General features: G+C 51.2%; 1 protein-coding gene across 1 annotated transcript, besides 2 other annotated features; it reads left to right on the forward strand.

Annotated features, from left to right (window-relative positions):
* Positions 52-101: a silencer, noted in NCBI's record as "silent region_4501". NCBI's record gives its function as "represses an Ori minimal core promoter by ATAC-STARR-seq in GM12878 lymphoblastoid cells {active_cell/tissue: GM12878}" and the evidence as "EXISTENCE:reporter gene assay evidence [ECO:0000049][PMID:35858748]".
* Positions 9,518-10,430: an enhancer, noted in NCBI's record as "H3K4me1 hESC enhancer chr12:53635595-53636507 (GRCh37/hg19 assembly coordinates)". NCBI's record gives its function as "activates a minimal SCP1, AML or CMV promoter by ChIP-STARR-seq in naive H9 embryonic stem cells {active_cell/tissue: H9 hESC(naive)}" and the evidence as "EXISTENCE:reporter gene assay evidence [ECO:0000049][PMID:30033119]".
* On the forward strand, positions 9,607-10,429 carry LOC122455340 (uncharacterized). The gene has a single exon (NM_001395962.1). It carries the CDS (start codon positions 9,630-9,632, stop codon positions 10,146-10,148), a length of 519 nt encoding a protein of 172 aa, NP_001382891.1. The 5' UTR covers positions 9,607-9,629; the 3' UTR covers positions 10,149-10,429.

The following is a 14,050-nucleotide window of genomic DNA, read 5'->3' on the forward strand; positions in this document are numbered from 1 at the left end:
CGCTCCTCCCTCCCCTGCCTGCCCCTGCCCGGCTCCCTCCTCTGTGCCCTGGGGCTGGGGGGCGGAGGGATGGGTGGGCGGGAGGGGGACTGGGCGGGGCGGCCCGGGACGCCTGGGTCTCTGCCCTTCCCATTTGCTAGGCTTCCGTGACTCCATCCTCTGGGAGGCCGGGCACGGCTGGCAGAGGAGGTCAGTGTCCTGGCCCCGTGATGCCAACCTTTTCTCTCTGGCACTTTTCTCCTTTCTGCCTTTTGGGGGGACTAGTTGAGTTGTCTGTGGCCAGGCTGTGACTCTTGCGAGGCCAGTCTCTGGCGCCTCCCCAGGGTAGGCAATGGGGCGGTACCCACTCCCTCCCAGTGCTGGATTGGCCGGGCAGGAGTATGCCAGATCTAGAATAGATGCTCCTGCCCTTACTCTTTGCTCAGCCTTCACCTGCAGATCCAAGTAGCCTCTCCCTTCCCCTAGCCCACCTCAGTCCTTTGGTCCCAGGAGCAAACTGGTTGACTAGTGGCTGTTGCTGGGGGTGCTGAGGCCAGGGCTCACAGACATCTTCCCTGTCATCTTGCCTGGAGTAAGCTCCAGGAGTTAGGGCGCCTGGGTCCCTGGCTGCCAGTTGTCCCCCACCTTTAGGCCTGGATTTGGAAGGGGAGAGGCTGGAGAGGAGGGCAGGAGGAACTGTGGCTGGGAGTGGGAGGAGCCTTGGGCTGGGTGTGAGAGAGAAAGCCCAGGCAGAGGGTGTGTGTCTGCCCTAGCCAGCACCGGCCTGCCTGCCTGCCTGCCTGGTAGATGTGCCATGAATGCTGTTGACTCCGGGTGTGTGTGTGTGTGCGTGTGTGTGTGTGTGTGTCTGTGCAAGCGCGTGCGCATGCCAGTGCCGAGAGTGAGTGTCTGTGTCTGATGGGGGCATTATCTGCTTCAACATAGACAGACTCTCAACCCTAGAGTGAGAGAACCCAGTGGTTTCACTCTGCATTCTACTGAGGACAGAGGGAGAGAAAAGAATGGGTCTGCAGTCCAAGCTCTGTGCACGGATCCCAAACACTCCCATGGGGACTGGAGTTGGGAGGGAGAAAGAGGAGAAGGGGAGAGTCTGAGCTAGGCTGATAGGCTGGACAGACATACCCAAAGTACCTTCCCCAGCAATGCTCGCAGGGTGACCAGGACCTGGGACACAGACTCCTGGGTCACGTCACATTTTCCATACTGGAATTACTTGGCTTTGTCCTTGCTCCCCCCTGGGGGCCAGGTGTCCTCCCTCCTGGGAAAGGCTGCTTTTGGTAGCCAAAGTCAGGTGAAGGAGATGGGGGAAAGAAGAGGCATGCTGTGGTTACCTCAGGGAATGGGAGATGGCAATGGGGGTGCAGACAAGCCCTCTCTTTCACTCCAGGGATAGGAAGAGCTAGGAATAGATACTCCAGGGTCCCGTCCCCAGGTGGCCTAGCTGCTGTTGACTTTGCTTGGTTACCCTGGGAGCAGCTCTCAGCAGTGTGGGAGGGGCGGGTGTCAGGGAGTTGGACCCAGGCGTCCAGGCTGGGGTGGGATGGCGCCCCGCCTGTGTGGCAGGGCTCCTGCCAAGAGGCTGCAAAGTTAACCCCTCCTGCCCTGCCCTAGTGGTGGCTGGTGGGAGGAGGGCGGGCCCAGTTGTGGTTTGGGAATGTGGCCCTAATTTCCCCCTCCCCCTTCCAGCACATCTGTACTTGGTTTACAGTGAATGAGCCTCCTGTCCTCATGAACCAGGCAAGGGCACCACTCCCTCCTTGGCCAGGCATTCTGACACAGAACCAGGCACCACCCGTGACACTCTCCTCTCCCTGCTGAGTATCATCTCTCTGAACTCTTCCCTTCTCCTTCTGTAGAGGGGCTTAGGGTTGGTCCCAAAGATCTACAGCTGGAGCTCTGAGACAGTGCATCTAGGTAGCAAATGGGGCCAGGGAAGCCTAAATCGGGGGACAAAACACTTGGGGTAGCCTCTGAAAACAGAGGGAGTCAGAATTCCAACTGTCTCTGCCCTCCCTTTGTCTTGGTTTGTCTGTCTGTCTGCCCGGGTCTTTGTCTCTGGTGGGCGTTTGTCTATCCATCCGTCTTGGTAACTGTAGCTCCTCCCTTCTGGCGGCCTCCTCGTCCCCAGCCGACGACAGCAGCCAAGCAGCGATGCCCAGGAAGACCCGCCCTATGCCGGCCCCTCCCCTTGGGATTGCCACTGCTTCCACCCCCGCCCCCTCTACCGCCCCTCCCCAGGACCCAGTGACTGGGGTCTGTTCACTGCAGCAGTTTGGAAGTCAAACCAAACAGCAGCAGCAGATTGGGGGACAGGGAAGAGGGGCATTGTGAGGGCTTCAGATTCTTCTCCCCACCCTCCACTCCCCAGCTTGCAACAGAGCCAGCTTTCTGTCCAGAGATTCCAGGAGGAGGCTTGGGAAGAGGGCTTCCCACTCTGGAAACTGGTGGAGGGGGCTCCCCTCATTCCTCTTTCCCTTGGGTCATCCCTATTTCTAGGCTTTGCTCTGTTTGTGGCTGCTCTACTTTGTCACCCTGGCAACTTGGAGAAATGATATCTTGGGGGCCCTAGTACCAGGCTTTGTTTGCTCCCCTCATCCCAGAGCAAAGACCAAAAGGAGAGATTATGAGGAGAGGAAAAGGATGCAGATATCTGTCCCACCTGTCCTGAAAGTCATGGGGAAATGACTTATTCAGTGCCCTGATGCTGGGGGGGCGGACAGTGGTGAGGATGAAAATTGCCCCACCCTAATTTTCACCCTCACCCCCTCCCAACCCTCCGGCATCAGGACACTGAATAGGTCATTTCCCCATGCCCAAATCTGGTGGTGTGGGGGATGTCCTATGCCATGCTCAGAGGTGTCTGGCAGATGACTATAGGGGGTGGTGGGGGAGCTGTGTTGCAGCCCCCAAAGACATCATTAAGGCATGGAAGTGCTGTCAGGGCTTGGGGACCAGGGCACCCAGGGAGAGCGTGATGAAAACATGTTTTGTACAACACGTGTCCTCTCTTTTCCCTTCCTCCTCTCCTCTCCCACCTCCTCCCCCTAGGCAAGCTCTGTGCCAGTGCTGGTGCCAGCCCTGCCTCTGGTGCTTGCTCCACTCCATCCCTTGTACTAGGCCTATTCTGCTGCTTGCCAGCTCGTTGACTCTCCTGGTGAGGGAGTTTGTGTGTAGAAGGTCCTTACCAGCCCCAGTGCTGCCCAGATCCCCACATAGAATAAGGACTTAATTTTGAAGCTCAGGATTTTAGGATTAGCCTAAACACCTCTGGGAATTTCTTCCCTGAACAGGCACCATGCATTAATTCAACAAATCTTTATTAGGCATCCACTATGTGATAAGCACTGTGCTAGGTTCTGGGAATACCCAGGTATGGTCCCTGGCAAGTTCACAGTCGGATGGAGTCAGTTGTTAACCAAATAATCCACAAAACTGCAACTAGAATAATCAGTGTGGAGAGGCATGAGGGACCATGAGAATGGAGCAGAGGAGTATTCTCCGCCAAGGAGATCAGGAAAGTCTTCGGAGAAAAAATGAGGGAGATTAGAGAGAAGGAAGGGCAGTGAAATATATGTGCTGCTCAAGAGTATGTGCAAAGGCCCTGGAATTGATGTCCTGGCCCTCAGCCAGTCTGCTCCCCCTGCCCCCAAAAAAGAGGGGCCTTCCATTCCTGTGACGTGCTTGGATTTCAATATGCCAAAAGGGAGGGATGGTAAGTACCTCCTTGTGGTCATAGCAGGACGCTGAGATACCTGAATGCATTCATTTCCTCCAGAAAGGGAAACAGAGACAGAGAGGGAAGACGACTCACAGGCTGAGACTTGAGATTATACTATGGAAAACAAGGCCCCATGCTGGCAAATCCTCCAGGGTGAGGGATTCCTGCATTTGCCCAGCTGGAGCCTCACCAGACAGAAGGCCTTCTCCTCTGAGCCTGCTCTACCATGCCCCCACTCCCCCGATCCAGCCCTGACCTGTCCCACTCCCTGGAGCTAGCACGTCTGCCTCCACAGTTGCCTGGAGTGTGTGTGAGGCGAGTGCTACAGGTGTCTGCCAGCCAGTGTGTGGGTGGATGTAGCTGTCTGTTTTGCACAGAATCTCCATCCAGGGGATACGGGGTTCTCTTTCCCCTGTCCACTGGAGAGCTTCCAATTCCTCCTACCCAGACACAAAAGTTCCAAGTCTCTTCCTTTTGAAAAGGAATTGGGGGCCCCTTGAAAGAGGGAGCAGACCTCTTTGTGACTGTGCCTCCTCTAGAGCCAGCAAAGAGGTCATGGAACCAATGGGGTTAAGTCCCAGCCCTGCTGTGACCCACTTTCCTCCCTGTGCCCACATCCCCTGGGGCCAGAGTGTTGGGTGGGGCCAGCCTGGCACCCCCACACCCACACCTGGGACTTCCCCTGGATGGAAACTCCCAGAACCCAGGCATCCTGCTTCCCCTGCCAACTCCCACCAACTGCCTGGGTTCTATTCAGCTTCAGTTAGATCTCCCTGTCTGCCAGCCTTTGACCAAACTACATCTGTGCTCCAGCCCACCCTTTGGTGTCTGGCTGCCCCTTCTGGTGGACTCCTTTGAAGAAAAGATGTGGAGCTGGGGGAGGGGGCTGTGGAGAAGCCATCTTTTATTGAGCACCTACTATGTGCCATGTATTGTGCTAGACATGTACATTATCTCATCCCCACTTAACAGAGCAGGGAGTAAGAACTGGAGAGGTTAAGTGACTTGCTCAATATTGCACAGCTAGGAAGTGGCACAGCTAAGAGGAGAACCCAGATCTTGGTGGTCCTGAGCTCTCTTCACTATAGCAGCGTTCTTCCACTTCTCTTGCAGCTGCCCACCTCTCTATGGGATGAGAGACTTGAGAAATTCAATTTAATCCAATTCAGCAAACACTGAGTATCTGCTATGTGCCAGGTACTGACAGGTACCAGAAATAAAGAGATCACTGTCCTCGAGGTCTGGTGAGAAAGACGAGCATTTGGAAGTGCTCTAACATCAGCATAATGACCTGAACAAGGTGGCACGGAGCTGAGAAAGAAGCGGTACTTTTATTTCCTCCTTCTGTACAGAGTATATAAATATATTATGAACAGTATACAGAATAAATGGAATAAAGTCAATACCTACTTCATTGCCATCCAGGTCAAAAACTGGAGTATTTCCTATACTTCAGAAGTTCCCCATGCATCCCTTTCACAATTCCCTCAGTCTCCTAAAAACGAACTACAATCCTGACGTTTGTAATAATCGTAAACACAGAAATTACTTGTTTTTCTTTATAGTTTTAGCACCTGTGTATGCCTTCATAAACAATACTGCTCAACTTTGCCTGTTTTTGAAGTTTCTATAAATGGAATGATACTCTATTACTTTTTGCTTCCTACTTATTTTGTTCAACTTGTGAACTATATCCAAGTTGTTACACATAGCTGTCTTCCTATTATTGCATAGTATTCATTGCATGGATATACCACAAGTTATTTTTTTCATTCTACTGTTGGTGAATGTTTGAGTTGTTTTTAGTTTGGACTGTTATAAACAATGTAGCCATGAACATTCTTGTACATGTTTCCCAGTACACAGATGCAGGAGTTTTTCTAGGATATAGAACTAAGAGTTAAACTGTATATACAGGTTCAATTTTATCAGATAGCACCAAATAGATTTCCAAAGTGGCTGTATCAATTATATAAGAAGCAGAACATTTTTTTTCTTTTTTCTTTTTCTTTTTCTTTTTTTTTCCTTTTAGAGAGAGTCTTACTCTGTTGCCAGGGCTGGAGTGCAGTGGTGTGATCTCGGCTCACTGCAAACTCCGCCTCCCGGGTTCAAGCGATTCTCCTGCCTCAGCCTCCCAAGCAGCTGGGATTACAGGTGCCTGCCACTACACCCAGCTAATTTTTTGTATTTTTAGTAGAGACGGGGTTTCACCATGTTGGCCAGGCTGGTCTCGAACTCCTGACCTCGTGATTCACCCACCTTGGCCTCCCAAAGTGCTGGGATTACAGGCATTAGCCACCGTGCCCGGACTTTTTTCTTTTTCTTTTTTGTGAGACAGAGTCTCGCTCTTGTTGCCCAGGCTGGAGTGCAATGGCGCCATCTCGGCTCACTGCAACCTCTGCCTCCCAGGTTCAAGTGATTCGGCCTCAGCCTCCTGAGTAGCTGGGATTACAAGCACCCGCCACCACACCCAGCTAATTTTTGTATTTTTAGTACAGACAGGGGTTTCACCATGTTGGTCAGGCTGGTCTTGAACTCCTGACCTCAGGTGATTTAACTGTAACCGCCTCGGCCTCCCAAAGTGCTGGGATTACAGGCGTGAGCCACTGTGCCCGGCCAAGAAGCAGAACATTCTTTTATTTATTTATTTATTTATTTTTGAGACAGAGTCTTGCTCTGTTGCCCAGGCTGGAGTGCAGTGGCACGATCTCGGCTCACTACAACCTCCACCTCCTGGGTTCACACCATTCTCCTGCCTCAGCCTCCTGAGTAGCTGGGACTACAGGAACCCACCATCACGCCCGGCTAATTTTTTTGTATTTTTAGTAGAGACGGGGTTTCACCGTGTTAGCCAGGATGGTCTCGATCTCCTGACCTTGTGATCTGCCCACCTCAGCCTCCCAAAGCGCTGGGATTACAGGCGTGAGCCATCACGCCTGGCCGAAGCAGAACATTCTAACCAGGAGCAGGCGCAGGGCCAAAAAGACCCACACAATTTCTTGCATAAAACCCTCAGAGGTTTTCCATTTATCTTATTTTTATTTTTTATTATTTATTTATTTTCGAGACAGAGTCTCACTTTGTCACCCACGCAGGAGTGCAGAGGTCCAAACACAGCTCACTGCAGCCTTGACCTCCCAGACTCAAGTGATCCTCCTGCTTAAGCCCCCCAAGTAGCTGGGACTACAAGCATGCGCCATCACGCCCAACTAATTTTTTGTATTTTTTGTAGAGACGGAGGTTTTGCCATGTTGGCCAGGCTGGTTTTGAACTTCTGAGCTCAACCTATCTGCTCACCTTAGCCTCCCAAAGCACTAGGATTACAGGCGTGAGCCACCATGCCAGCCTTTATTTTTAGTTTTAGTATTATCTTTTTTTTTTTTTTTTTTTTTTTTTTTTTTGAGACAGAGTCTCACTATGTCGCCCAGGCTGGAGTGCAGTGGCACAATCTCAGCTCACTGCAACCTCCACCTCGTGGGTTCACACCATTCTCCTGCCTCAGCCTCCTGAGTAGCTGGGACTACAGGAGCCCACCACCACGCCCGGCTAATTTTTTTGTATTTTTGGTAGAGATGGGGTTTCACTGTGTTAGCCAGGATGGTCTCGATCTCCTGACCTTGTGATCTGCCCGCCTCGGCCTCCCAAACTGCTGGGATTACAGGCATGAGCCACCGCGCCCTGCCTAGTTTTATTATTTTTTGAGACAGGGTCTTGCTCCGTGCTCCAGGCTGGAGCGCAGTGATGTGATCTCGGCTCACTGCAGCCTCTGCCTCTTGCCTCAGCCTGCCGAGTAGCTGGGATTACAGGCTCATGCCACCAAGTCGGATAATTTTTTAAATTTTTTGTAGAGAATGCAGTCTCACTATATTGCCCAAGCTAGTCTTGAGCTTCTGGGCTCAGGCAATCTTCCCCTCGGCCTCCCAGAGTGCTGGGACTACAGGTGGGAGCCACCTCGTCTGGCTGGTTTTCCCTTTTTACTTGGAATAAGATCCAAGTCCCTGCCATGTCTCACAAGACCCTGCATGGTAGGACCTCTGCCTTACTCTCTGACCTGTGCCACTATGACTCTCCTCTTTGCTCCTGGCACTTGCTGTCCCCACTCTCTGGAATGTTCTCCCACTAGATAATTCCATGACTTGCTCTCACTTCTTTCAGGTCTTTGCTCAGTGACACCTTCCCTGACCACTGAATTTTGGATTGCCACCTCCAGCCTTCCTTATTCCTTTCTCAGCTTTATTTTTCTCCATAACCCAGCCACTCGGGTTCCATTCAGCCTCGGTCAGCTCTGCCTCCTCTGCCAGGGTTTGACAGACTGCATCTCCCCCAAAGCCCTTAAGGGTGGTCATACCTGATTGGGGGCTGGTCTAACTGTCACTTCTGATGGAGTCACCTCTCCGAGTCACTTTTTATCACATCACCCTGGGATAAGAATAGCCTTTCTCGGGCCGAGTGCGGTGGCTCACGCCTGTAATCCCAGCACTTTGGGAGGCCGAGGCACGTGGATCACAAGGTCAGGAGATTGAGACCATCCTGGCTAACACAGTGAAACCCTGTCTCTACTAAAAATACAAAAAATTAGCCGGGTATGGTGGCAGGTGCCTGTAGTCCCAGCTACTCGGGAGGCTGAGGCAGGAGAATGGCGTGAACCCGGGAGGTGGAGGTTGCAGTGAGCTAAGACTGTGCCAGTGCACTCCAGCCTGGGCGACAGAGCGAGACTCTGTCTCAAAAAAAAAAAAAAAATAGCCTTTCTCATGCTCTGAAATAAGCTTAGTTATATGTTTACCTGTTTGCTTTTTGTCTCCACCCCACCTCACCCCACCCCTCACTTCCTCATTTTTATGGGAACTCCATAAGAGAGGAAACTTAACTATCTTGTCCACTACCAAGGCCAGTGCCTGATGCATACTAGGTCTCAAATAATAGTTGACCAGGCTGGTTGTCAATCTCCCAGAGACAGTTGAGCACCCCCCACACTCACACCTGGGACTTGCTCTCTCTGGAAATTCCTAGAACCCAGGCATCCCACCTCCTCTGCCAGCTCCCAACTACATCCCAGACTCCGTCTTTCAGAGCCCTCCTGTGGCCACTGCTATTGCCTGCTGCTGCTTCCCTGAGTCCCCTGTGGGAGCTGTTTGGGGTCCCTGAAGCAGCAGCTCTGGAGGTTAGTGTTGGAGAGACTCAGGCATCAGGGGCCTAGAGCTCAAGAAATATTTTGTTTGTTTGTTTGTTTTTTGGGGTTTTATGAGACCAAGTTTTGCTCTTGTTGCCTAGGCTGGAGTACAATGGCATGATCTCAGCTCACTGCAACCTCCACCTCTCGGGTTCAAGCGATTCTCCTGCCTCAGCGTCCCGAGTAGCTGGGATTACAGGCATGTGCCACCACGCCCGGCCAGTTTTGTATTTTTAGTAGAGACAGGGTTTCTCCATGTTGGTCAGGCTGGTCTCGATCTCCTGACCTCGGGTGATCCGCCCACCTCAGCCTCCCGAAGTGCTGGGATTACAGACATGAGCCACCGTGCCTGGCCAAGAAATGCTTTTTGATTGAGTAAAGGAGAAGACTTCAGCAATGACAGGGCCTCGCCAGGTGAAGAAGGGAGCAGGGGCACTCAGAGCAGAAGGACCAGTGTGAACAAAGGACTGGAGGCCTGGGAGTACATGTCATATTTGAAGAAAGTGTTCTGATCTGGTGCTGTTGGAGGATTTTCAGGGGAGAGGGGTAGTAGGAGAGCTTTGCCGGCCTGGAAGGGGAGGGCTGGAAAAGGAGGGCTGGATGTGGAGGGCTGAGCTCCCTGCAGGATCAGCAAGGCTCAGCATGTCTTAGGTTTAATCCTGCCCCCCACCGTCCGCCCCTCCTACTCCATCCCTGTCCTCCCCTTCACCCAGCCCCCAGCCTGGCCACAACTGCAGCTGAATGGACTTCTCTCTGGGCCTACGCTTGGGGCCTAGGAATAAGAAGCCTGCCCACCAAGAGCCTCCTGCCTGCTCCAGGCATGGTCCACCTGCTGGCTCTCCTTGTCTGTCCTGTCCCCCATCTGCCTGTGCCTTCCCCTGCCATGGCTGTCCCCCACCCCCATGCTCCTGCACTGCCTGTCCCTCTAGTGCAGCTCCCTGCCCCGCTTGTCCCAGCCTCCCGGGCCCACCCTGCACCTGCTCTTGCCCCCGCTGCCCTGCCTGTCCTCCCTTGACTTGTCCCCATAACTCCTGTGTCTCATGCTCCGGTCCACCCTTGACCTGCTGCCACCCCTCACCCTGCCCAGTTTACCCTTGCTCCATGAGCCGAGCTGCCTGTTTGAGCTCCCGTTTAGGCTGCAGTGATAGCTGTAGCTGTGGCCAAGGGGCTGCCTGGGGACCTCCAGGCTCCCTTGGCTGCTGTAGCTGCTGCTTCAGGGGACAACAACGCACTTCTCGGGGGCGCTGTCTGATCATTTAGGTGGACTGTTGCCCACCAGGAGACTGTCAGTTTCCTGGAGCACTTCCGTACTGCTGCCCTGGCAAGGAGGCAGGAGCTGGGTGGAGTGGGAGAGGGATCAGCTGGACCCCTCCCTCAAGCAGGTAGAGGCAGCTGGCTTTCCCCAGTCCTGGAGAGGTGGCAGGGGGAATCTGCTTTGAAGTTAGTTTCTGGATGTGCTCCTGCTGGTTCCAGAACCTCTTCCTCTGCAACCTCTGGAATGGAAGGTGTTCTTCTCAGAGCCTCCCCCACGGCCCCTGAAGGTGAGCAAGTTGTCATTTCTTCCTCTCCACTGAGCCTCCATTGGAGTCTCCTCTGCAGTTCACATGAATAAATGGACTCTTCCTCTAGAGGAGCTGGAGTATCCTGGTCCAGAGGCCACTTCTTCTCCCTCTGACCTACACCCAAGATTGACCCAAGAGTCTCTGAATCCCTGACCTCTCACCTTGAGTCAGGCAGAGAGGGTCAGTGGCTTTTGGACCAGAAGAAGAGGCTGAGTGGAAGATATTTGGTTCCTCCCTCCACTTGGAAATCCTTGGCATCCTTTGTGGTCCTTTGTTTCTAGCCAGGAACCCTCTGCCTGGATGTCTTGTCTTTCAAATCTCTGAGAGCTCACTCAGCCTCATGACCTCAATCTTGCAGCAGTGATCCCATCTGTGACATCCAGGCTCATCTGGCATAGGGATGAGGGAGGCTGGGAACCCTTGACTCAGGCTCCTAAGGATGGCATCCACACATAGGTAGCTGTAAGTCTCCTGTCCCCAGGGATGGGACTGGGAGATGAGACAAGCCACCAAGAGATAGCTGAGAGCCAGGCTCGGTGGCTCATGCCTGTAATCCCAGCACTTTGGGAGGCTGAGGCAAGTGGATCGCCTGAGGTCAGGAGTTCGATACCAGCCTGGCCAATATAGTGAAACCCCGTCTCTACTAAAAATACAAAAAATTAGCTGGGCATGGTGGCGCGCACCTGTAATTCCAGCTACTAGGGAGGCTAAGGCAGGAAAATCGCTTGAACCCGGGAGGTGGAGGTTGCAGTGAGCCAAGACCGCGCCGTTGCACTCCAGCTTGGGCAACAAGAGCTAAACTCTGTCTTAAAAAAAAAAAAAAAGAGATAGCTGGAAGTGGGAGACTCTGGTATCTGCCTGGGATGAGCTCCTAGGCTGAGAGCCCCTGAGCACCACTCCACGTCTCTCCAGTTTTCTGGCTCCTGTACTAATCTGTTCCAAGCTTCTTTTTCTTAGCTGCCTTCTCTAGGACTCCTTTCGTTCTTGTCTTTATAGCTGTTTGTGTTTCCTTCTGTCTTTCTACCTCACTCTCTTCATTTCTGTTTCCTCCTCACTCTCTGTCACTGGGACATTTTGCCTTCACCTAATTGTATCACCACATCTGTTTTCCCCACTCTCTATCCCTCTATTACTCTATCTAATTTGAAATCAATTTAACATATGTCTTCAGCACCATAGGAAAGGTTAAAAAAATTAGCATATGTGTTTTTCTTCCCCCTTCTCTTGTCTCAATCCTTGTCTTCATGCCTATTTTCTTCCTTGGTCTTTCCTTTTCCCTCATATCTCTCTGCTTTTCTGTCCTGTTCTGCTTCTGGGTGCATTTCATTCTTTTTGGGTTTTGTTGTTAGTTTTTTGTTGTTGTTTGGTTTTTTGAGACAGGGCTCGCTCTGTTGCCCAGGCTGGAATGCGGTGGTGCAATCAGAGCTCACTGAAGTTTCTAACTCCCAGGCTCAAGCGATCCCGGACTACAGGCACGCACCACCACTCCTGGATAATTTTTTTTTTAATTATTGTAGAGACAGGGTCTCACTATGTTACCCAGGCTGGTCCCAAACCTCTGGCCTCAAGCGATCCTCCCACCTCAGCCTCCCAAAGTGCTAGGATCACAGGTGTAAGCCACTGCACCTGACCACATTTCATTCTTGATCTCTTCCATTTCTATTTCCCTTTCTTTGTCTCTCTTTCTGTCTTCTATGTCTAGCTGCTTTTTCACTTCCTATCTCTCTTTCTGCCTTCCCATATCTGGTTTGCTTTTATGCTGCCCCATCCCCCCATCTCCCTATCTCTCTGGGTCCTGCACAATAGAGCACACTATGCCTGTCTCATGTCTTTGTCATTGCTGCCCAAGGGCCAGAACACTGAGCTCTCCACCAGTGTCTGTCATGGAAACACAGTCCATGCCCTGGAGTGAGCCGGGGTAGACATGTCTACCAGAATAGCCCCTCCTTTCCCCACTCACTATCCAGGCTATTCATTCCTGCTCAGCTTTAAGCCCAAGCCTCTTTTCTGTCTTTTTTGTCTTTCTTTTTTAATGATGCTTCTCCCAAATTCTTATTCTGGAAGTTGGCAATTAAAAAAATAAAAAGAAATGGCTGGGTGCAGTGGCTCATGCCTGTAATCCCAGCACTTTGGGAGGCTGAAGTGGGTGGATCACTTGAGGTCAGGAGTTTGAGACCAGCCTGGCCAACATGGTGAAACCCCATCACTATTAAAAATACACAAATTAGCCAGGCATTGTGGCGTATGGCTGTAATCCCAGCTACTTGGGAGGCTGAGGCAGGAGAATCACTAGAACCCAGGAGGCAGAGGCTGCAGTTAGCCGAGATCACGCCACTGCACTCCAGCCTGGGCAACAAAGTCAGACTCCGTATCAAGAAAAAGAAAAAAAAAAAAAAAGAATTAAGCACTTATGCTGCCTGCATGTATAAACTATATTTCAGGATAGCCAAATAGCTCTAATTGGTGAAGACAACTTCTTATTTACAGAATAATTCCAGCTAATGTGGAAGGAATACGGAATTAGAAAAATCACCATTTTGTAACTCCTAATGAAGTAACTGATCAAAGCAAGACTCGCCTAATGGATGAAAACAAAGATGATGGGTGATGGAGAATTTTACAATGGGAAATTGAGCTGCCACAACCTAACCCACGGATGAATCTTAGCTTCACTAAAAGTGACACAACCAGGCACTGTGTACCTCCTGATGTGATGCAATCTGAAGCACTCATCACCACCTATGAAGGAATCTTGCCAAAGAAACAAAATTGAACATAAACCTAATCAAACCTCTAGTGCTGACTTCCATTTAACAGGAAATACAGGGAATGGAGGAACAAATAAAATGACACAATAAGGAAGCAGGTAAACACCCCCAGAATGTGGGACATTCTAAAGGAAATCTGACCCCATTTCGTCAACTAGTGAATGGCTGGGGGAAAAAAATGAGAAGGGACTTAAGAAGACAACTATTACATGGAACATATGGACCTTGTTTGGTTCCTAATTTGAACAACTCAACTGTAAAGACAGTTGGGGATATGTAATTATGGACTGGGTATTCATGATAACAAGGAAGCAGTGCTAATTTTGTTAGATATAAAAATGGCTCTTGGGTTATAGAAGAGAAGGTCGTTATTTCCTAGAGATGTATGCTGAAGTATGGAGTGAAGTGACCTATTTAATTTTAAATATTTCAGCAGAGATAAAAGGACAGAAAGGAGCCGGGTGCGGTGGCTCACGCCTGTAATCCCAGCACTTTGGGAGGCCGAGGCGGGTGGATCATGAGGTCAGGAGTTCAAGACCAGCCTGGCCAACATCGTGAAATCCCATCTCTACTAAAAATACAAAAATTAGCTGGGCGTGGAGGTGCACGCCTGTAATCTCAGCTACTTGGGAGGCTGAGGCAAGAGAATCGCTTGAATCCGGGAGGCGGAGGTTGCAGTGAGCCGAGATCGCGCCATTGCACTCCAGCCTGGGCAACAGGGCAAGACTCCATCTCAAAAAAAAAAAAGAAAAGGAAAAAAGGACAGAAAGAAAGGAGTGACAATAATCAGTAATTGTTGAATTAAGAATATGGAAGTTCTGGGCCGGGCGCA

The sequence above is a fragment of the Homo sapiens genome, chromosome 12 (genome assembly GCF_000001405.40).
Source record: "Homo sapiens chromosome 12, GRCh38.p14 Primary Assembly".
In the NCBI taxonomy this organism is placed as follows: domain Eukaryota; kingdom Metazoa; phylum Chordata; class Mammalia; order Primates; family Hominidae; genus Homo; species Homo sapiens.